Source organism: Homo sapiens, chromosome 12, assembly GCF_000001405.40.
Source record: "Homo sapiens chromosome 12, GRCh38.p14 Primary Assembly".
In the NCBI taxonomy this organism is placed as follows: domain Eukaryota; kingdom Metazoa; phylum Chordata; class Mammalia; order Primates; family Hominidae; genus Homo; species Homo sapiens.
In genome coordinates, this window is record NC_000012.12 from 81,299,699 (window position 1) to 81,320,609 (window position 20,911).

General features: G+C 34.3%; 1 protein-coding gene and 1 long non-coding RNA gene across 52 annotated transcripts in view; one reads left to right on the forward strand and one right to left on the reverse strand.

Moving 5' to 3' along the window:
* Nucleotides 1–12,724, forward strand: part of PPFIA2-AS1 (PPFIA2 antisense RNA 1) — a 33,234-nt gene extending 20,510 nt beyond the window's left edge. The window contains exon 6 of the long non-coding RNA NR_120491.1: nucleotides 12,349–12,724. This is a non-coding gene — a long non-coding RNA (PPFIA2 antisense RNA 1). The remainder of the gene's footprint in view (nucleotides 1–12,348) is intronic.
* Nucleotides 1–20,911, reverse strand: part of PPFIA2 (PPFI scaffold protein A2) — a 501,376-nt gene that overhangs the window by 41,724 nt on the left and 438,741 nt on the right. For 22 of the 51 annotated variants that reach the window (XM_017020108.3, XM_047429786.1, XM_047429781.1 and 19 more), the window contains one exon: nucleotides 12,462–12,470. The exons of 28 other annotated variants lie outside the window; for them this stretch is intronic. In XM_017020108.3, coding sequence (XP_016875597.1) covers nucleotides 12,462–12,470 — 9 coding nt within the window. Of the gene's footprint in view, nucleotides 1–5,098; nucleotides 15,005–20,911 lie in introns of those variants that run through there. One more of the 51 variants, XM_024449244.2, reaches the window with a different exon arrangement.

The window sequence follows — 20,911 nt, forward strand, 5'->3', positions numbered from 1 at the left end:
CAAATGTTCATATTCAAGTATGCATTATGGGATCTAAATGTGGCTTCCACCATCTGCCCTGCCCTCTTTGCCTTACTATCTCCATGGCAAAGAAAATGCTTATATAGAGAGGCAGAAGATAAATTTGGTCCTTTTAGTCACATTCTAGTGATGTGGTTGATTTTAGTATGCCCTGTGGGTCCAGGGATCTATCTTAGGAGTTAGTTATTTGTCTAGACTATAAAACTACATCTCACTTGGAGAAAACTCCAAGGTAAATTGATTTCTAACACTCGAAAGCAATGTAAGGTATCAAATTCAATGGTACACTTGCTTTTATCTATAATCACTACTGTTTTAATGAAATTAAAATATCTTAATAACAACAAATGGTTGTTTTGATAACAAAAGATGCAAAAGAACTCTGAAAAATGCATCTATAATTTCACTGACCCTCTTACTGATTTTTAGAATTGACATCCACTTACAAAGCCAATTTGAGATCACTCATTGTTAAGATAGTAGCTATGTGCTTTCACTGAAATTCAAATTGATATATACTTGGCCAGGAATATATTGGAAAATACATTCTCTTTACTTTAGTATGCCTTGATCTTACACATAGATGATAAAAACATGGTATAATAATTGCTTTATTTTGAATGCGTATGTTTTATGCTTAGGAATATTTCATGAAAATCATTTATGAACTCCCAAATGGATAATTTGATTATTTTCTACTATTAATCAATTAGTTACTGTGGTAGACTATATTAATACATTAAGATATATAATGAATAAAATGCCTTTCAACACAGAGTTTTCTGTGTTTGTAATAGATGCAACCAAAAATTCATTAAAAAAGGTGCAAAATACAAATTTAAGTTATAGTGGCTGAAGAGACATAAATCAACTGCTGTTTCATTTGAGGGGATAGAAGTGTTAAGTTCTGCATGTAAGCTATTCAGCACCTGGGAAAGGGAACAGCGATACTCGTGCTCTGAATCTAAAAAAGTAGAGGCACTTCTTCACCTGGCTTGCTCTATCATCCTCCATTCCCTCAGGTCTCCCAGTGACATTCCTTTAGTGAAAACCAGTTTCAAATAGCTTAGCCTCACTGTGACAGATATATATATATAGAAATGGATTGAAGGATCAAAAACAAATAACCTATTAGGTACTTATTGAACACCTGTTGTGGACTGAGACTTGTGTTTGGTGTGGAAAATAGATATGGGTCTAATTTCCCAGGATATCCTGTTAGATGGACAAAACAAACACATGAAACTGTCTGAAAATACAATACAATACAATATAATACAATACATTACACAAACAGCTGCTAACGTGAAAACTTGGTGATGTACCTTGTGAAGTATGTCATTTTAGAAAAGGGGTTAATAGCCATTGAAGGTGTTGTGAAGGCATTGTGGCAATGGAGCTGGCTTCGAAGGGCAGGTAGGAAAGAGGTGGGGATGGCATTCCAAGCAGGAGAAGCACTAATGGGGAGGTATGGAACTTAACATGAAATACGTGGAAGAAAATTTAGGGTAGGCCTTCACAGAGTTAATGCATGTTGTAAGAGTTTTAATGTTACATCCAATAGGGAAAGCGACACTTCTAGTTATGTCATAGGTTTGTGACATTAAAAGGGAAGAAATAAATTTACATTTACAATTAGTTTTTGCTTCACATAGTAAAAAAGCAAGTAAATATGCACTAATAACCTAAGGAGCACGTAACATTTTCAGAAGTGTATTCTATGAGTTGTACAAAAGCTATTTTTAAATATTAGAACGCTTTCATTTTGAAACTTCTGACTAGTTCCCTAATAAAAATCCCACTAGAAAGGCCAGAGTGATCCTTTTGAGTCTGATCATGTAACTTTTCTGTTCATAACTCTCCAATCACTTCCTGTCTCACTGGAAATAAAAGCCAAAACAGCTGCTACAATCTATCGTACCCGCGCCATCTCTCTGACTAAACTCCCATCTCAGTCAGCAACACTGGCCTCCTTGCTGTTCTTTGGAAACAACCCAGACCTCTTTTCTGTCTCAGGATCTTGGCAGCTCACCTGGAATGCTCTTCCCCTCTATCTCTACATGGCTAACTCTCTCAGCTACTTTAAATCTTTACTCAAATGTCACCTGTTCTCTGAATGTCTCCTCCCTTACTCCCTGAAAACTCCAATAAGGAATTTCTTATCCCCATTGTTTGCTTTATTTTTCTCCAAGGTATTGCCCTTCTAACATAGTATATTATTTACTCCTCATTCTGTCATCTGCCAATAAAATGTAAGCTCAGGGAGGATCTGTGTTTTCATATGCTCTGTTCAGAGATGAATTTGAAGTCTAGAACAAGATCAGGCACAGAAGAGGTGCTAAATAAATACGTGTAAATGTTAAACAAAATGCCAATCAGTGTTTATATTTAGGTGCTTCTTGTTTCAGTAAATTGTGTCCTATAATGTTTTGTTTTTGTAGTCCAAATAGCTTTTTCTATTTTACCTTATAACCATGTACAACATTTTGTATTTTAAAGAACAAATTTTTTTCTTGCATCTTACCTCCTCTTGAGCTTTTATTTCCCACTTTCTCACAATAGTACTGATTCTAGCTGATCCCAAGAGTCTGATCTATTTGGGATTCCTGGTGAGAATTTGGTTAAGAGGCAACCCAATGTGCTCAAATAGTTCTGTTCTATGAACAGAAGTATTGATAACACAATTGTTTGGGAAATTATTGAGCAATCTGGCCACTGAAAAAGTTTTATTTTCTTGGTTTTTGTTTTGTTTAAATCACAAACTCTAATAACAGGATGACTTTAGTAATAGCAGTCTAAGAAAATGAGATAAGGGAGCTCAAATCCTTTGGTTTCCAACAGTTAGGGCAAAATCTCTAGCATCTGTCTTAGGGCTGACATACTTGAGACTGTGGAAAAACGGATCAGATGGGAGGGATGGCTAGGTTTTACACCAGGACTGTGTGCTACATGATGGTAACTCCAGATGTGCTTTTCCTTTTGAGAGAAGTAACAATTATTTAAAAAAGAACAGCATTGAAATTTACAAAGCAATATTGCCTTGCATTATTATTTTTAATTATAAAATAATCGGCACCATACAAAATTTATAAAAGGCATATATCTAGGCATGTTGGTTTGAGAGACAAGCAATGCTAGAAAAATAAAGCAATGTGGGCAATGCTATAATACTTGGAAATAACTGAATTTAATACATGATGATATGCTAATAGATTATTAAGGGTAGCACTAATTACATAAGGGCATGCTTATTCTCATCAAGTTTTGGAGTTACTGTCAGAAAAATAGTGATCTGAACTGTATAAGAAATCCTAAATGACAAACTGATTTGGCACAAAGAAGTCTTTTGGATATACTGCTGTTCTCCGTTCAACCTGTCAATGTATGTAAAGGGATTTAGTCTGGAATGGATTTTCTTTGTAGCCAGAATTCAACTTTTTTTAAAGGTCAAGTGACAGTTCATCCAGAAAAAGAATGTGATCACTTACCCCAGTACAAATTTAACTATGAAAATTACTCTCTTTCCCTGTTGGCCTGAAGAATAATTTTAGTGTGTTTTTAAAAATAATTTCAGTCAATCAAATATTTGACCATCTTTTCCCAAAGGATCACCCGTACATCACTAAATTTCGGGGCATACATTTCAGGTTTAAGATTCAGAATAGATTTTAGAGGGCATCAGCTGTACTTCCTTTTAGAGGAAGTGTCAGGCATGGAGGTGTTATCACTTGGGTCAAAACACAAACAAGAAAAGTACTAATTGCAAGAAACAGTTATTTTGAGACAGTACAACTTCTGAATCATTGTGCATTTTCAAGAAACACTCTTCAATAAAGAATGCTGTTAGTATCTTCCATAGGCCTCAGGTTCTCCTATTATTGATATCAATAAGTTACTGTGACTAGAAAGTGATATTTTAGGAGGCCCAACATGTGGTGAGCACTCAGGTCTGTGAATAATTTGCAAGTCCGTATCTAAATGTGCAGAGGGAAGTCTGCACTTGCTATGCCTGAACTGAAGACAGGAGCAAACAAAGGGTGTGCAGTCAAGAAATGACGAGACTCAAAAATTTCTAGATAAAAGACCAATAGGTTCTAGAAAATGTATATAAATTAGAAGCATTGGCCAAGCTACAGATTTCCAACTTTTAATGCAGACTAATTAACCAGGCGGGTGCAACTCTGGTTGAATGACTAAATCCAGATGGAAATGCCTGGATTTTCATTCTTAGGTTTTAAGTTTCTCCTTAGCGATTGTTGTTGTGGTCTAATTGGTATACGAGTAGAGTCTCTGGCTCCCATCTCTTGCATTTGCATGCCATCACATGCCTCCCTGCCTTATCTCCCCACATACTTTGTCTTGATTTTCATGATTCAACAAAAATGCTTCCTTTCTATATCCATCCTTCTCTTGCCCTGGAGGCATTATCTACCACTTTCATACATAGGCCCCATAGTACTAAGCAATTTTCTCTATAGTATCTTTTATGTTTCATTGAATTTGTTGGTTCACAAGTTGTGACCCCTGACTCCATGGGCTTGACAGCAGAGACTTTGTACGCTCTGTGTCTGAGTTGATTAGGGGGTCAGTCATCTGATTTGTATAGACCTACTATATGCCAAGTTTTGCAGCAAGCAAAGAATAAAGCCAACTGAATCTCTGACCTCAAAGACCATACATTCCAGTGAGGAAGGAAGATTTGTATAAACACATATACACATACATAAACAAAATAAGTTGAGCCATTGATATGTGTTCTACAGGAGGTAAAATAGACTAAGGCAGTAAAGTAGGCAATGCTTATAGTGTTCTGGGAACATAGATGTCTATAACGAGGCAACATTTGAGTAGAAACATGTACGTTGAAAAGTGGCAGGGAGTAGGGGTATGGTGGGAATGTTTTAAGCAGAAACATAGTATAAAATTCCTATTAAAGGAGTGGAATTAAATGTTTGAGCAACTGATAAAAGCCAAGAAGGGCCAGTGTGACTGGAGTGAATTGAAGGACACGGGAGTTGGTGGTGGAGGAAGATGAAATTGGAGACGTAGACAAGAGAAAAGCAAGAACATGTTGGGCTTTGGGAGCTGAAGAGGAGTTTATTCTAAACATAGTAAGAAGCCATCAGAGGGTTTAAGCACAAGAACATAAAATAATTTGTACATTATAAAGGCATTTCTGGCTGTTGAGGATAGCACGGACTTGAGTCAGGCCAGAGTTGTGATCTAAGGATACAAGTTAGAAGGTTGTTTCAATTTTCAAGCAGAAGATAATGGTTGCTTTGTCCTGAGCTGTGGCAGCAGAAATGGTGAGAGGTTATTGGAATAGGGATTCAGGCACACAGCATACATTCAATAAATCATAACTGAATGAATGAATGCATGGCAAATTAACTTCTTACCAGCTATGTGTTTTTTGGCTATGTACTTAATCTCTTTGAGACTTAATTTTCCCATATTTGAAGATGATTATAAATTGATCTCAATTTATAAGAACTAAATAAGATAATACTTACAAAAGCACCTAGCAGCCAATATGTATTCAATAGATAACTAATTTCCGTTCTCCAATTTTTTCTTATTTTCCCAAAGCAATTCATTGTGTGTGCTACCATCAGATTAACCTCCTTAAAGTAAACATTTATTAGCTTACTATATAACTCAGTAAACATATTTATTAGCTTACTATATAACTCCAATTTCTATAATGGCTTTTAATTTACTATTGGAAGAATGGCCTTTAAGGTCATTCTTGATCTGCCCCTAAATTGCATTTCCAGATTTACCTACTGTATCTATTCTCTCTAGCTACAATGGATACTCACCATTCTTTGCACTTTACCTCTTCTGTTCTACTGACTTTCTCTCCATTTGGAATGGCCTTTCCTCAATTCATACCATTCAAATTTTCTCTATCCCTTGAGTGATGCCACTCATATCATGTGCAAGACTCTGGTAGGCCGTTCACCGTATGTACACAGCCTTATTTCCGCTACACTATAATCTCCTGCAGGCATGAGCCATGTCTCAACTATTTAAAATTACTTATTAGACAATCCTTTCCATAAATAGCTATCCTATTGGCAACTATATTGGAATGGTAAAACTTGAATTTGTTAGTGTTTATATTTGCAATTCTGAAAAATGAAATTCATTAGTTACTCAAAAAAGTCACAGACCATAGGGAACAGTATGTCTCCTCCTCATTCTTCCTACTGTGGATGGTTTATCTCTGTCAGTGAAAAGAGACTTTATTCACAGACCTCTCACTTTAGCATGCTATTCTGGGATGCCAATTTGTGGTATGACTGTCCAAATACCATACAGCACTGTCCCCTCTGTCACTCATGATGGCCATTTCATTCACCTTCTATTTGATGCCTGTCATTTTCCCCTTCATACTTTCTAATGTATCTTCCTTTACTTTCTATTGTCACTGCTACCACAGTTTTTTTCTCAGCCTTTAATTGGTCCTTCTCTCCAGGCTTCTTACACTGACATTAAAGAAAAAAAAAATCTGCCTGGAAGATAAACTTTATGGCAGAGTGGGTGAGAAAGTGGCTCCCAAAATCAAATTGCTTGAGCTTGATTCCTTTGCCTGTCCTTTTGGGCTGCACATCCATAACAAGTCACTGTATTTTGCTGTGATTCAGTTTCCTCATGTGGAACATGAAGCTGATAACCCATCTAATAGGGTTTTTACAAAGGTTTTGTAAGAAAATATGTGTAATATGATTACAAAAGTAACTCACACAAAAGGCAATGGTCAATAAATGTGAGCTTCTTTCTTACTGTTTTTTGTTTGTTTGTTTGTTTGTTTCGTTGTTTTTTTTTTTTTTTTTTTGGCAGAGTTTTACTCTGTCTTCCAGGCTGCAGTGCAGGGGCCTGATCTCGGCTCACTGCAACCTCTGCCTTCCAGGTTCAAGTGATTGTCCTGCTTCAGCCTCCTGAGTAGCTGTGATTATAGGCACGTGCCACCATGCCTGGCTAAATTTTTGTATTTTTAGTAGAGATGGGGTTTCACCATGTTAGCCAGGGTGGTCTCGAACTCCTGGCCTCAAGTGATCTGCTCACGTCAGCTTCCCAAAGTGCTGGCATTACTGACATGAGCCACTGTGCCTGGCCAGGTTTTACTTTAAATAATCATAGCACTGTCCTCTAAAGCCCCTTCAGTCTTTCCTCAAATGTCTAAAAGATTATTTTTAATCTTCATTACAAAGAGATTCCTGGTTTAATCTTGATTTAATTATCTAATTACCTTTCCTTCTAACCAGAATTGAAAAGTACTTTCACAGTTTGTGCATTACCAATTCCACCTTTGCAAATACCACTTCCCAGAGCTGGTAAGTTGATCGCTACTTTTTCAACTATCAACAACCTTGTGTTTACTTAACTCCTGGCTTCCCTTTTATATGAAATATTTTGTGATCAGCCCAATCTACAATTATCCTCTTCTCCTTTAAAATCTGGAAGCCTGTAGTGTCAATCTCACTCATAGAGATCACTGGTTACCACCATGTGCCCGCAGCCTCATCTCCAACCCAAGACAGTAAAATCCTGGAAATAAGAGTTTGTTCTTCAACCGTATCATGCATCTTTCTCTGGATGTTCTAGTCAAGAACATCTTTTGAATGACTGCTAAATTGTAATCCAAAAAACTCACAATGTTGACAATCACCTAGGATCCTTGATTATAGGGCATTTTTAAAGTATTCTATATTTTTATAACTTCCAACTGTTCATTGCATCTCAAAAAGAAATAAGAATTCTGCATCACAGTTACCCAGGTTGGCTGCAGAAAAGATTACAATGTTATATCTAACATTCAGAAAGACATTTTCTAGACTAACTGAATACTGCCAAAGCTTTTGTTTAAGCCCTCATCAATTGATGATGATGGTGATGGGCTCCTAGAATCTCTCTATCTCTCATTTGGTAACTTGTCCCTTCCAACCTCCACTGAGACCTTCCTAAACACAAATCTTTTTGTAAGACTCACCTGTTTAAAAGCCTCCCTGACTGTCCTCAAAATAAAGGCCAAATATCTTACACAAAGACGCTTCACAATCTGGCTGTCTCCCTGGCTTTTTCTGCTCAACTAACACAAATATTTGCTATTACCCAAATACCTCATTCGATTTTACCCCTCCATGTCTTGCTATATGCCCTTTTCTTCTGCCAAGAGCATCCTTCTTCACATCACCATCATAACAACTTTAACTTATCCTTCAGACAGAACTCATGCTTTATTTTTTTCTATTAAGATTCTAAGTCCTCTCCCAGGCAGAATTAACTCTCTCTTCTATGCAAATACCATAACTTGTATCTATTATACTTGTACTTATTATACTTTCACTTAAAATTTAAAATGTAATCTAAATATAATTAAATAAATTGCATTACAATTTAATACAGTAAGTGCTATAATTGAGATACATCTAATGCGCTCTCCTGTTCATCTGAACCAGTTCATATTCTTATAAGATGAAATATAGTGGTTTGAAAGAGCAAAGGTTCTGGATGCAGACAAATTAGGCTTTGGATCACACAAAACAGTAACTAATGTGCATTTATCACTTACTACCTATGAAGCACTATCCTAAGTGTTTTTATGTGTATTAATTCATTTAATTTTCATAATAATCCAATAAGATACATATTGACACACATTTGCAGATGAGAACACCGAAGAACAGAGGCCAGTTGGAGTCATGGAACCGTCGAGGTGCAGAATCAGAATTTGAACCCCAATAACCTGTCCACAGAGTCAGCTCTCTTAACCTCCATGCCATCTCTTAGCCAATTAACATTTCTGAAATTTTTCATAACTGAAAAATGAGGATAATAGCACCTTCCTTATTGTAAGTGTAAAATAAAATAATGGTCCCCTACTTTTCTTTCTTTTCCTATGGTTCATTTGTTTTTAGAAGTGGCATACATTTATTTGACTTCCTGGTTAATACATAAGGTCTTTACCTTCTTATTGTCACACATTTCAATCCTCAGCATTATAAAAGAACAAACGAACTGTGGCTTTTCTTTTCTTGTTATTCCCTAGTAATATCAGGTTGTACATCTTGGCCAGAGAAAAGTTAGCCTAGTTTAAATGAATGAGATAGAAAAGTTGAATTTGTTGCCATTCATTTCATTTCAATTGATTTTGTAATAACCATACAAAATAATTCTCTGGGTGAAAAATTTACCTTCAGAGCTACTGATTTACTATGGCACATAAGAAGTACTTACTGATAAAACCAGAAGAAATACATATGTGGCTTGATAAGAATGAAGAATAAAATATAAGTCAAATAATGTGACAATGCAATATACTTAATTTTGCATCACAGAAAATAAATCTTCCTTACATAATAGTAGCAGGAAATGTACACAGACTTCACACTATTATTAATTGTAAAATGTATATTGTTTCACTAAAATTCAGCTTTCAAGAGGGTAAATAGGATGTAACCTCCTCAAATTTCAACCAAAGAATGGACTTATTATTCAGGAATCCATACTTGATTAAGTCTGTAAAAACTAAAACTACATATTTGAGAAGCTAGTTGAAATTCTGGTCAGCAAATGCAAAGTATGGTGCCAACTCAATTATTTTTTTTAACATCTGCAAGCTGAACATGTATATCTTAGTTAACATAATTATTCTAAACAGAAATATGTTACAAATTCCAATCAGTTGCTTCAGAAGATTGATTACCTAACTATACATATTTAGCTTCATAAAATTAAGAGTTTCAAATTCAACATTAAATTTGACTTGATTTGAAAGCAAAGCATACTGTGATTTTGTGTATGTGCAAGTGCAAGCGTGTGTGCCTGTGTATCCTATTATTGCATATTTTCACATTTGGTGAAAATGTATGAAAATCCATGACATATTTAAGTAGTGTTTTATTCAGATTCCAGTAAAACATGCTAGGCTGTTTAGATTTCAAATAATTTCATTACATTGGAACTAAAATTCATTCATATTTAAACCGTTTATCTTCAAGCTTCTCTGAAATATAGGGCATAGTCTCAGGAAAGAAATGTATTTGGGAATTGAGTTGCGAGTTATGTAATCTCCTTCCTTACTGTATTTTGAATTTAAATATTTTCAAAGCCATTAAAAAGGTATAAATACCCCCCTGACACACACACACATACACACAAATATGATTGAATCATACAATTATTTATGCTGTTATTGAAAATGAGAGGGGCTTATATTCCTCCCCATTAAACAATTTCACTTTTGCAAGACACCATAGTCTGTACTTTCCAGTCACTTCCTAATAGTAATTGGGGACCTACTGGAGAATATTGTAATTTTTCAGGTTATATGAATACCACTTAGATTAGATTGCTCTAGTGTTTCATCTAATTTTAAGCCCTCTTTTACCCAGTTTGGAAGTGTATAGTTTGTATGCTTCTGAAGGTACAGACAAGTAGATAATAATATTAGTAAGTACAAAGAATATGTCAGTCACTCAGGGCCATGTAGCAAGTAAGTGGGGAAGATGGAATTTAAACTCTATCTTCTGATTCCTAATTCAGTGTTGTTTGCTCCTCACATCTTCCTATGTCATCTTCACTATGTTGTACTATCTTCCCTGATATTATATTATCCAAAGCTTTCTTTTAGTAATTGTACTAGGGAAATGGTGTTAAGGTCCTAAAATGTTTAAGTTCGAGGAGCATGTGTAAGACAATAAGAAACCGAATTGTAGAATGAAGTCCATTATATCAGTTTCTTACAGTCCATTAATAAGAATGCATCATTCATTCATTGTTTTTCAATATTTAATTCAATAAGGACTCAGGGGAATTAAGTTTTATTTCTTGAAATTATTTTCCTCTGAAAAATTAAAAATCATTAGAAAACAGAAGACAATTTATATGATGACATGAAAACTGTGTTTTAAAACTCAATGTCTATAATATTTGTTATTTTCAAAAAGAGCTTACAATATTCATTTGGCCAACATGGTTGACGAGTACTCTAAACAAAACCTGCCTTGCATTTTTAAGAACACCTTACTAGAGCTTTTCTTAATTCCTCAATATTGTAAAACATCCTAACTGAAGCAAATAATACATCACCAAGTCATTTTGGCAATGGCAACTGTAACTTAAAATTATATTAAAAATAATATAAACCTTACTAGTTAATAAAGTAATATTACAAAGTACAAGAATTTGTACTGGCATACAAAATATTTATATAGCCAACTAGTAATATGTTTAATAGTTTCCTGGATAATTGTATCTCATTGCAGTCATTTTATTGATAAAAAATAACACTGCTTTAAATTTAAAAGCAATACCTTCTTCTCAGTCCAAAGTGTTTTAATGAGCTCACCATGTTACAAATGCAGTAGTCTACACCAATGTAAATATTATGCATATTTTATTTTACTTTTTTACTTTGAAGTCAAATTTCTGTTAGGAATAGATAAATACTCTAATTTTAGCTCAAAGAAAAGGATTTAAAATTTGAAGCCATTATCTGAGTAATTCAGGTTTTTAAAGCTTTAGAAATCAACCAGTAGTACAGGAAACAATGGGAACAACACACATTCAACCAAAACCAAGGATTATTCTTGGCTCTCTATATGTAAAAGCTCTCCAGGGAAGAACAGCATTTAACCCTTTTCAGATATGTGCCGTTCTATTCATTGATGAATAAGTTTGTCTCTTGAACATAACACAGGTGGAACATTAAGAAAGGTAGAGGCGGCCCGGCGTGGTGGCTCACGCCTGTAGTCCCAGCACTTTGGGAGGCCGAGGCGGGTGGATCATGAGGTCAGGAGATCGAGACCATCCTGACTAACACGGTGAAACCCCGTCTCTACCAAAAATACAAAAAATTAGCCAGGCGTGGTGGTGGGTGCCTGTAGTCCCAGCTACTCGGGAGGCTGAGGCAGGAGAATGGCATGAACCTGGGAGGCGGAGCTTGCAGTGAGCCGAGATCGCGCCACTGCACTCCAGCCTGGGCAACATAGCAAGACTCTGTCTCAAAAAAAAAAAAAAAAAAAAGAAAGAAAGAAAGAAAGAAAGGTGGAGGCAATTCAGACAGGCAGCACAATCAATAGTACCTGAGTGGTCTCAAAGTATGACTTGAGCCTGGCTGCTTGCCACATTGACCCTTTAGGGAATTACTTGAAAACTAGAGGGAAGGAGTCTAGAATGTCTTTTGACATGTGTATAATAAAACTGAAGAAATACAAGTGCCCAAAAGCTTACATAATTAATTAAAATGTGAACATTTCTCTGAACCAATGATTCCTTTTACTGTGTGGAAATAAATATGCTTCATGATTTTCATTTCAGGTCAGAGGCAGTGCAGCTTGTGTTACAACTCAAAAGAGTAATACTCTGAAAAAAGAAAAAAAAAGATGGCGCTGAAAATAAACATGTTCAGCAGCCATTGTGATTCAACTTACCCAGATGTGCTTTTCATGAGATGGAGAAGGACGGATGGAAAAGAAAAGCACACAAATGTTAATGGATACAGTTCAATCCAAAGAAAACCATGGAATAAAACAAGAGCATTATTTAAGATGTGAGAAAGCTCAGGTATGAGAAAGACATGGTGCCATTTTGTATTTCATCATGACACACATACTCACTGCGTCGAAAAGCATAGTCAGGCTGAGGGTAGTTCTAATAGTTGACCAATAAGTCTATGTCTTGAGTATGAGCCACTCTGAAACATGCATGACCACATTTTCCCAGCCTCGAGTACATCCCAGGAGGAAATCAAGAAATCTTGGTAAAGGACATTCTTTACCTCAGGCCACTTCCATGCTATTTTACCAGTAGAAACAATAACTTATTAATTGGCACTTAGATTTTTATATAGCTTTATAAGCCTACTGCTAAGGCCCAAGAAAAAAGAACAGCAGACATTAGAATGGGCAGCAACTTGAAGTGAAGAATGTCCTTCCTAGTTTGAGGATCTGAAAATCTAGATTCTATTTCTCATACACAGTTTGGTCAAAATTATTAGCAGATTCTGATCTTCAATTTCCTCAACACAATCCCTGGCAATAGAAATGTGTAAAGTCCATTCCAGATCCATAATGTTATTATTCCAACCAATGCTGTAATAATAATTACTATTTTGGTAAACATATATGGCTAGTAATCAGAACATAAGAAAGTGTAAAAATGTTCTATTCCTCTTCTTCGGTGGCCATATTACTTCCTTCTCTATTTGACTGGCAAAATAAACATCAAGTTTGTGTCTATTGTGGCTCTTTCAGTGGTAGAAATATTTAATTATTTGAATAGGTGTTTATAAATGTTGTTTTTGGGGAAACATCCATAAATTATATTGGTTCACCAATATTACCAGAAATCATCACTAAAACGACATTGATACACATATAGCTTTTGAAGAACCCACTTGCTCCCTGGATGTAGTAGAGGCATTGAGAAAATATGGAAGTTAAATAATTCAACAAAAATTCATGAGAGTATTGTTTTAAAAATATATTACAAGCATAATAGCCTAATTATTAAAAAATAAAATTGTTACTACAACTCATAAAACATGTTCAATATAACAAAATAGAAAGCAGAAATTCCTATGTCAGAAATTAGGCAAGTTAGAGCATCTTCTTTTTTATCGCACAATTATTATAAAGAAAAGATTGATGTGCAATGGAACACCCTGCACATGCCTCCTCTCAAGGCATTCATTCAGAGAAACCGTGTACTTTTTATTAAATCGGCACTTTGAAAAAAATGCATATTTTTGGCCTTAACTCCACAGCATCTGTGGGAAACTCCTTAGATTTTCACATAAACAAAAGCAGAAATGTTCATAAACACTGGCACTACACTGTCCCAAGAAATTTATCATATTTTTCACATCATACACCCCACAGAAATGAAATTAAGACCAAAAGGAGATAGTTTTTAGATTTTAAAATGATTTTCTTGTCAACATACCTGTGAACTCTACGATGAGCTCTGAAAAAATAGGCAATTTCTGAGCTTTCCAGGAAAATTGCCAAAAGCATTTGGGACTAGTTATCACCATGGACAACATAATCTTTCTGAGCCTACTAGCTATCTAGGAATCACTTCCCTATAAAACAAGTTGATTAAATTTGCACGTAGTGAAACCTAATATTTATTAGATGTTCCTTGATCATTTTTTAAAATAGAAAACTTACACAGTATAAATACCTTAAAATATAAAATATAAGATAAAATATGAAAATAAACAGAAAACACAAATTTAAAAGATACTGCTCAAAAAGCATTGCACAAATTTCTAATATTTTTGTTATCAATTCGTATAAATTATCTGATTTCTCATAGTTTTTATGAGCTTTCTTCTCTTCCATAGTAAATAAAGTTAAGAACTATTTCAAGCAGCTATATCACTTTAGAATGTTAAGAATTTCACCTCATGACTTTCAAACAAATGTGTTCTGCAAAAGACAAAAATCTATAGTTATAAATGACCCATATTTTGTGCTAATATATTATAAACTTCATATAGGAGGTAATATATATTTGCAGAGAAGTTTTTTCTGATTAATTTTTCTTATTGTAAATATTGATACATTCTTTTCTACACATATTTATTTATAGTAGCATATAGCCTCATTATTTTTCTCTCCATGTCAGAAGTGTCAAGGCTATGTTAATAGTAAGAAAGATTCTGTCAAGAATAAATATTCTTCAGTGAAAGACCATTGTGAGTAATTGGCAAGTAAGTTTTAATTAACATAAAAAAATAGGTTATGTTACCATCTAATGAATGAGATCAGATCCAATTATTGACATTATGTTTTCCTTGCCAACATCAGCATATATTCAGTCAGGAGAAGAAGAAATGACCAGCAAACATATGTCTTATATTTCAAAATGAGAGCCTTCAACTTTTCAGTTTCCTCACCTTGATCTTCCAGATCTCCTACAATTGAATGAACCTTCTTCTGTTATAAACTAGTCAATTCTGGATTGAAAACTTCAAATAAGAAACAATTCATTAAATGAGTTTTATATTTGGAATATAATTGACTCTTGCTTTGTAAAGTTCAAGTTGGTGATTCAGACATATTTTTAAATTAGTTATTAACATCAAATTGAGTAGTTAATGGCTGGTAACTGAAATGGAAAAGTAAAATAAATAAATATTTTTTTTAATAGGTGAAAGTTGAGAATGTTTAAATGCTGATGGGGGAAAAAAAAAGACAGGAGCAGAAGTTGAAAGCAAGGGAGAATTCCGCACAAAATGACTAAGAAAATGGAAAGGGATGATCTGAGTAAAAGAATAGCCTAGTTTTCTACAATAAGACAGATGGGGCAAGTGTTAGTGTATATTTGGCATCAAGCAATTCAGGGCACTTGGATGGTTTCTCTCTCTGTCTCTCTGTCTCTCTAAGCTAGAATGTAAACTCATCAGCAGAAGATTCAAGTTTGAGGAGAGTGGAGGTTTCTAACAAGAGTTGCAGAGAGTAGAACAACACTAATGAAAGAAAACTCTTGGGATTACTAGGTAATGCTGAATTTCACAATGAAACTATTTCTAATTTCTCTGCTGTAATTTTCTCCAACAGCACAGATGTGCCAAAATGTACACATGGAGAAAGAAAATTCATCATTGGGTGTGGTTGTTATATGTAGATGTGACCAAATGAAAGTGGAGTGAAGAAATTTAACAAATTTTGAGGGTGTTGAAATTATGGACGTGATCTAAGCTAAACCAGGAGAGAGGGGAAAACAGAAAGGTGATAATGCACTGGAAAAGGATAGAGGTTAAATAAAGATGATAGAAGAAAAAGTTCATAAAGCAAGATCAAAGGTGGGAAGACTGTGATTAGCAAGAAATGAGATGCTTGAATTGGTAAGTTTGAAAGAAGCATGATTTGTGGTGATGACAAGATTCAGAATAGGACCATGAAGAGTGTCTGACTTGGGGTAATGAACAACAATGGAAGCAATAAAGTTGTAAAATCAAAAGGTTAGTTTTTGAATGGGTGATCTATGTGGATATCAGAGCATACGAGGGTGACATCAAGAACTGCTTAAAATTCCTACTTAAAGACAGATGATGGGGCCTTTAAAGATAAATATTTAAGCATGTTTCTAGTGATTCTTACAAATGAAAGAAATGGTTCAGAAGTTTAAATGTGGTTCCTCATCACATTAAATATAACTTTTCTTTAAGTTAATATTGACTTCAAATAACTAAAATATTTGAGACTACTTAAAGGAGTTTAAGAAATCTTTATTGCTCTAAGAATTTTGTTAATCATCTGCCTAGCAAACCTAATACAGTTAAGCCTCAAATTAAAATTTCAATTATGGAGAATCTGAACCAAAGATATTTAATTTTATGTTTGTGTGTGTGTCTACGAAAATATACTTAATACACACACACACACATATATATGTATGAAGTCTTTTTGTATTGAATTTTTTGTCTGTAAAACCCCGGCAAGAGAGAGACTATACGTAATTACTGCCCTTCTTAGAAGTGTGGAGACAGATACATTTACTTCATGAATGGCTCATTTGAAATAACTATGGGAAGAAACTAAATCTCCAAAGATCTTATAAAAAATACTATACAAAGCTTATATGAGATTTTATATTAACAGGAACAGATGTGGAAAATTCTAGATTAAGATGTCAGCATTATATTTAAATATACTTTAATTTGATTTTTTTATTTAAAAAGCCATAATTATTCTTGCTATTAGACACTCTCTTGTAAGTTTTACTGGAATGAATAATTTAGATTGATTCAAGCACACATTTAAATTCCTTACATGGTTTATTTATTAGGGAACATTCACATTATTATATCTTATATCAAACATTGGAACATTATGTGTGGCTAATTATATCAGAAAAAGTCAATTTTATAAAACAGCTACATCTCGTGTTTTGAAATCCTCCCCATCCCCACTCTTTAAAAGCATGACTGGTTTGAATACATTTGTTGCTCATTTTTAAGGATAGGGTAGGGGCAGATAAGAAACTAATTATTCTCTAGAGGAAAAAAATATGCTACCCTTTCCAGAGTATAAAGAGACTGGGGAATTCTTCATTCACTCCCTATATAGACCATTAACATTAAAAGTTATATAGGATATTCTAAGTGCAGTTGAGATTGGACTACATATTCTTTAAATCACAGCCCTATTCTTAGATACTAAATAATTCCAAGGAAAACTGGGCTCTGGAGATCTACATTTTTGTATAACACAGTGCCTGGAAAGCTATATTTCTTGATGCATAAAAGAAAATAGCAGTTTTTACATTAAAGGCTTTGTGAAAAATATTAGAGATAACACATGTAAAATGCATAGAACAGTGCATTGCCTAGCACATTACAACTAATCAATGTGATTATTATGTACATATTACATATAAAATAGATAATGTCATTAGCATGCAAAGGATGAGGAAAAAAATGAAGCAGAATATATGCACACAAGGAGGTAAGAGTAATCAGGAACAAAACAAATAGATATTAGGTATATCAAGACCATGAAGTGCAAGATGGGAAGCAGAGAGATAAAGCTGGTGAGATACACAGGGAGCAGATAATGTAGGGATTTATGGACTACATAAAGCCATTTGAAATTAATCCTAGGGTTGTTAGGGAGTGATTGAGGGGTTTTAGGCAGCTAAAAAATAAGATTTAGATAGGTCTGTTTAGCTTAAGCGTGACTAACGGATTATAGGAAGGCAAGACTAGAAGCAGAAAGACTATTGTAGTATGATGGCTTGAGCTGGAAAGAAGAAAATCAACAGATTTGAGAGATTTTTTTTAAAAAATGCAATTGACTACATTTGGTAATAGTACATGGACGTGTGTAGAGGAAGAATTAGGACAAGGAAGAGCAGAAGCAAAGAAGAAACCCAGGTTTCAGGTTTGGTCACCTGGGTAGAAATCACTGCCCTAACTCCTATTACATTTTCTCAGGTTTTCTTCTTTATCCTAGAGTTCTTTCCTTATCCAGCTTCTGTTTATACATTCAATTATTTGAGAAATGTATTTTAAATACTTACAATATGCCAGCATCTATATGTTAAAAATTCAAAGATTCTCCTCTGTTCAGTTCTCTTCTGAATTTTACAGAGGATCACAGAATCTCAGGGCAGGGACAATTTAAAAAGCAGGTAGTTCAAACTCTCAGCCAAAAGTTGAATCCTCGATGCAATAATCCTACTATGTACATATGCCTGTCAGGTCAATATTAGACATAATTATGGTGAACAATTCCCTTTCAAAGTGGTCAATTCTTTCTTCCTACCTCTGTGATTGCTAATAATTCTCCTACAGTCAGCTCAATTTATCTGTACTAACCCCTGACTTCTGGCCTAAGGTCTTATCACAAGGCCATAAAGAACACGTTTGGTTGTTCATTCTGTTGGCAGCATCTATATCTTTGTTCTGTATATACCACATATTCCTATTTCTACCAGTCTTTGAGGACATGGCTTTGTGTCATCTCACTAGTATGGTCATGTTCCTCTGAACATATGCTGGTTTTAATCCACTTTAAGTAACTTTCCCAGAAATGAACACAATACCCAGCTACAATCTGGTAAATGCATCGAATTTTGACCCTGTTACTGCTATTACGGATATTGAAAAACATTAAATTATTTGTCAGGCATTGCTCATTTGCCTACCTTGTAGAAAGTTTTTTCTTAGGAGCTACAGGTAAATTATATATGTTCCCCTATATAGAGGAAATCAGTAAGTATAGTCCTAAAGCTGGCTGCAGTATTATAAAAATTCCTCTATAAAATTTCATCTTGTCAGATTTGGATGCCTCTGTAAAAATCATCCTTAAGTATATTCTTTATCTAAAAACTGAGCTATGCCTTCTAGCTTCACACTTTGACAAATCTGATGTTCTTATTTAAATCATGTGTGAAAGTGCTGGGTTATGCCACCTTCTGTTTCACTTAGTCATCATCAATTCATTTGTGAAGCCCCTTTGGTTATTTGTCTTTAGCTGGGAGAATGTCTTGTAAATAAGAACATTAGGGTGCCTTTGAGTTTTCGGCACTTTTCTCATTCTCCACAAAGATTTAAAAAGTGATCATGAACCCTGAAATACTTAAATGCAATAATTAGTTTTCATGTCCATCTCTCTACAAGCTCTTTGAAGAACAGAACTACCTAATTCAAATATCAGTAATTTAAAACATTTCTTGGGACATACTGAGCAAAAGAATGAAAAATTATCATTTTCATGTTCTATTAATATTAATCCAGGATTTACATCAATTAAGATAAATAAGAATTTATTTAGAAAATGACATTATCTTCTATTATATGTAACTATCTTGATTTTAATTTTTCATATACTAATTTTTATTTTACTCTTTCCAGATCAAAAATGTTTCTCCTGGCAGAAATTATGGAGCCAGCACAGGGCTTCTGTTCTACTCACTTTGTTAATATATTAACATTGAACTGCTGGCTCAAAACAGCAACTCTATTCCTTTTGTGCTGTTTTCCTTCCTCTAAATAGATCAAATATATCTAAATATATCTAAAAGAGAACACTTTGGTTTTCCTTAGCTTTCTTTTTACTAACAAATTTCAGTGCATTCTGACCCTTATCCTTGGGATATTATTATTATTTACGTTCAGGGAATTCTTATAATTGTCTTTGGTTGAAGGTAGGTAGGGCTATACATGATCACATGGCAAAGCAACAGCAGCTCTATTTTAGTGAAAACAGAGAAGACAGGCTTCTGGAGTTCCAAGTAGGAAACTGGGACATATTTTTCCAGAGAAATTTTGAAAGCATTGGTTTTAGGTTCTAAAATGTTGTATATTATTATATTCATTGAATTAGTTGCCGAGGAATTTTCCTGCAGTAATTGTGTCTGTACTAAATAAACCCTCGACTAAAATAAACAAACTGATCCAAGCACAAATATCTGTTCCAAACTAGGCCATAAAAGGATTTCATCTAAGGACTTCATTTTTGGAATGGGATGAAGGAGAATATATGTGTTTGTGACAAGACTGGGAAAATCTCTCATGATCTCTTATTGTCAAAGTTTTGGGAATATCTTGGCTCTATTGTTTCTGTAATCTGTGAGATATCCTGGCTCTGTTGTTTCTGTAATCTGTGAGATAATCTAATATCATGCAAGTGAATCCTTCTTTTTGCTTTATCTACCCAGAGACAGTTCCTACTGCATGCCTACAAAACAAATTTTTGTGGGGGAAGCACAGACTTTTACTTTCTGTGTATATAGAATACTCAGATGGGAAAATGTACTCAGAGCTTCTAACACATCTTATAAATTAAGTTCTGGAATACAGTTCATTTAAAAGTTTAATTTGGCATATAGGCACTTAACGAATATGTATTAAATGAAAGAATATTGTGGAGTTTCTGTGATACCTTCACATATAAATATTTTCCATATCATTTATTTTGCTTACAGATATGTACACTCTGAACCTGCCAAATGCCAAAGATTAAAAGTGCAGTCTCAAAACACATTAAAGATTACACACTGAAGGAGACCCTCAGGATTGTGATGGGAATAAATTAAGTAAATCTATAGAGCTTAACTTTTATGTCTGTGATATTCTAACATAAAGATTTATTGGTAGTAATTAAGTGTGACTGCTTTGCTCCAAGGATAAACTGCTTCTCGAGAGAGGATGCTGCTGATAGCTGAGTCGGGGTGTTAATTTCATTTTAATGATATTGAAAAATTTGTTCACATATGAAATCTATTTTCCTTTAGCAGTGTTAACCATTCAGAATACATAGAAAAGTCTAACATATAATAATATATTATCTTTATTGTAACTAAAGATTGAAAATGATAAATTAGTATATTAACATTCGTATGATATCTTTCAACTTAAGTTACAAAA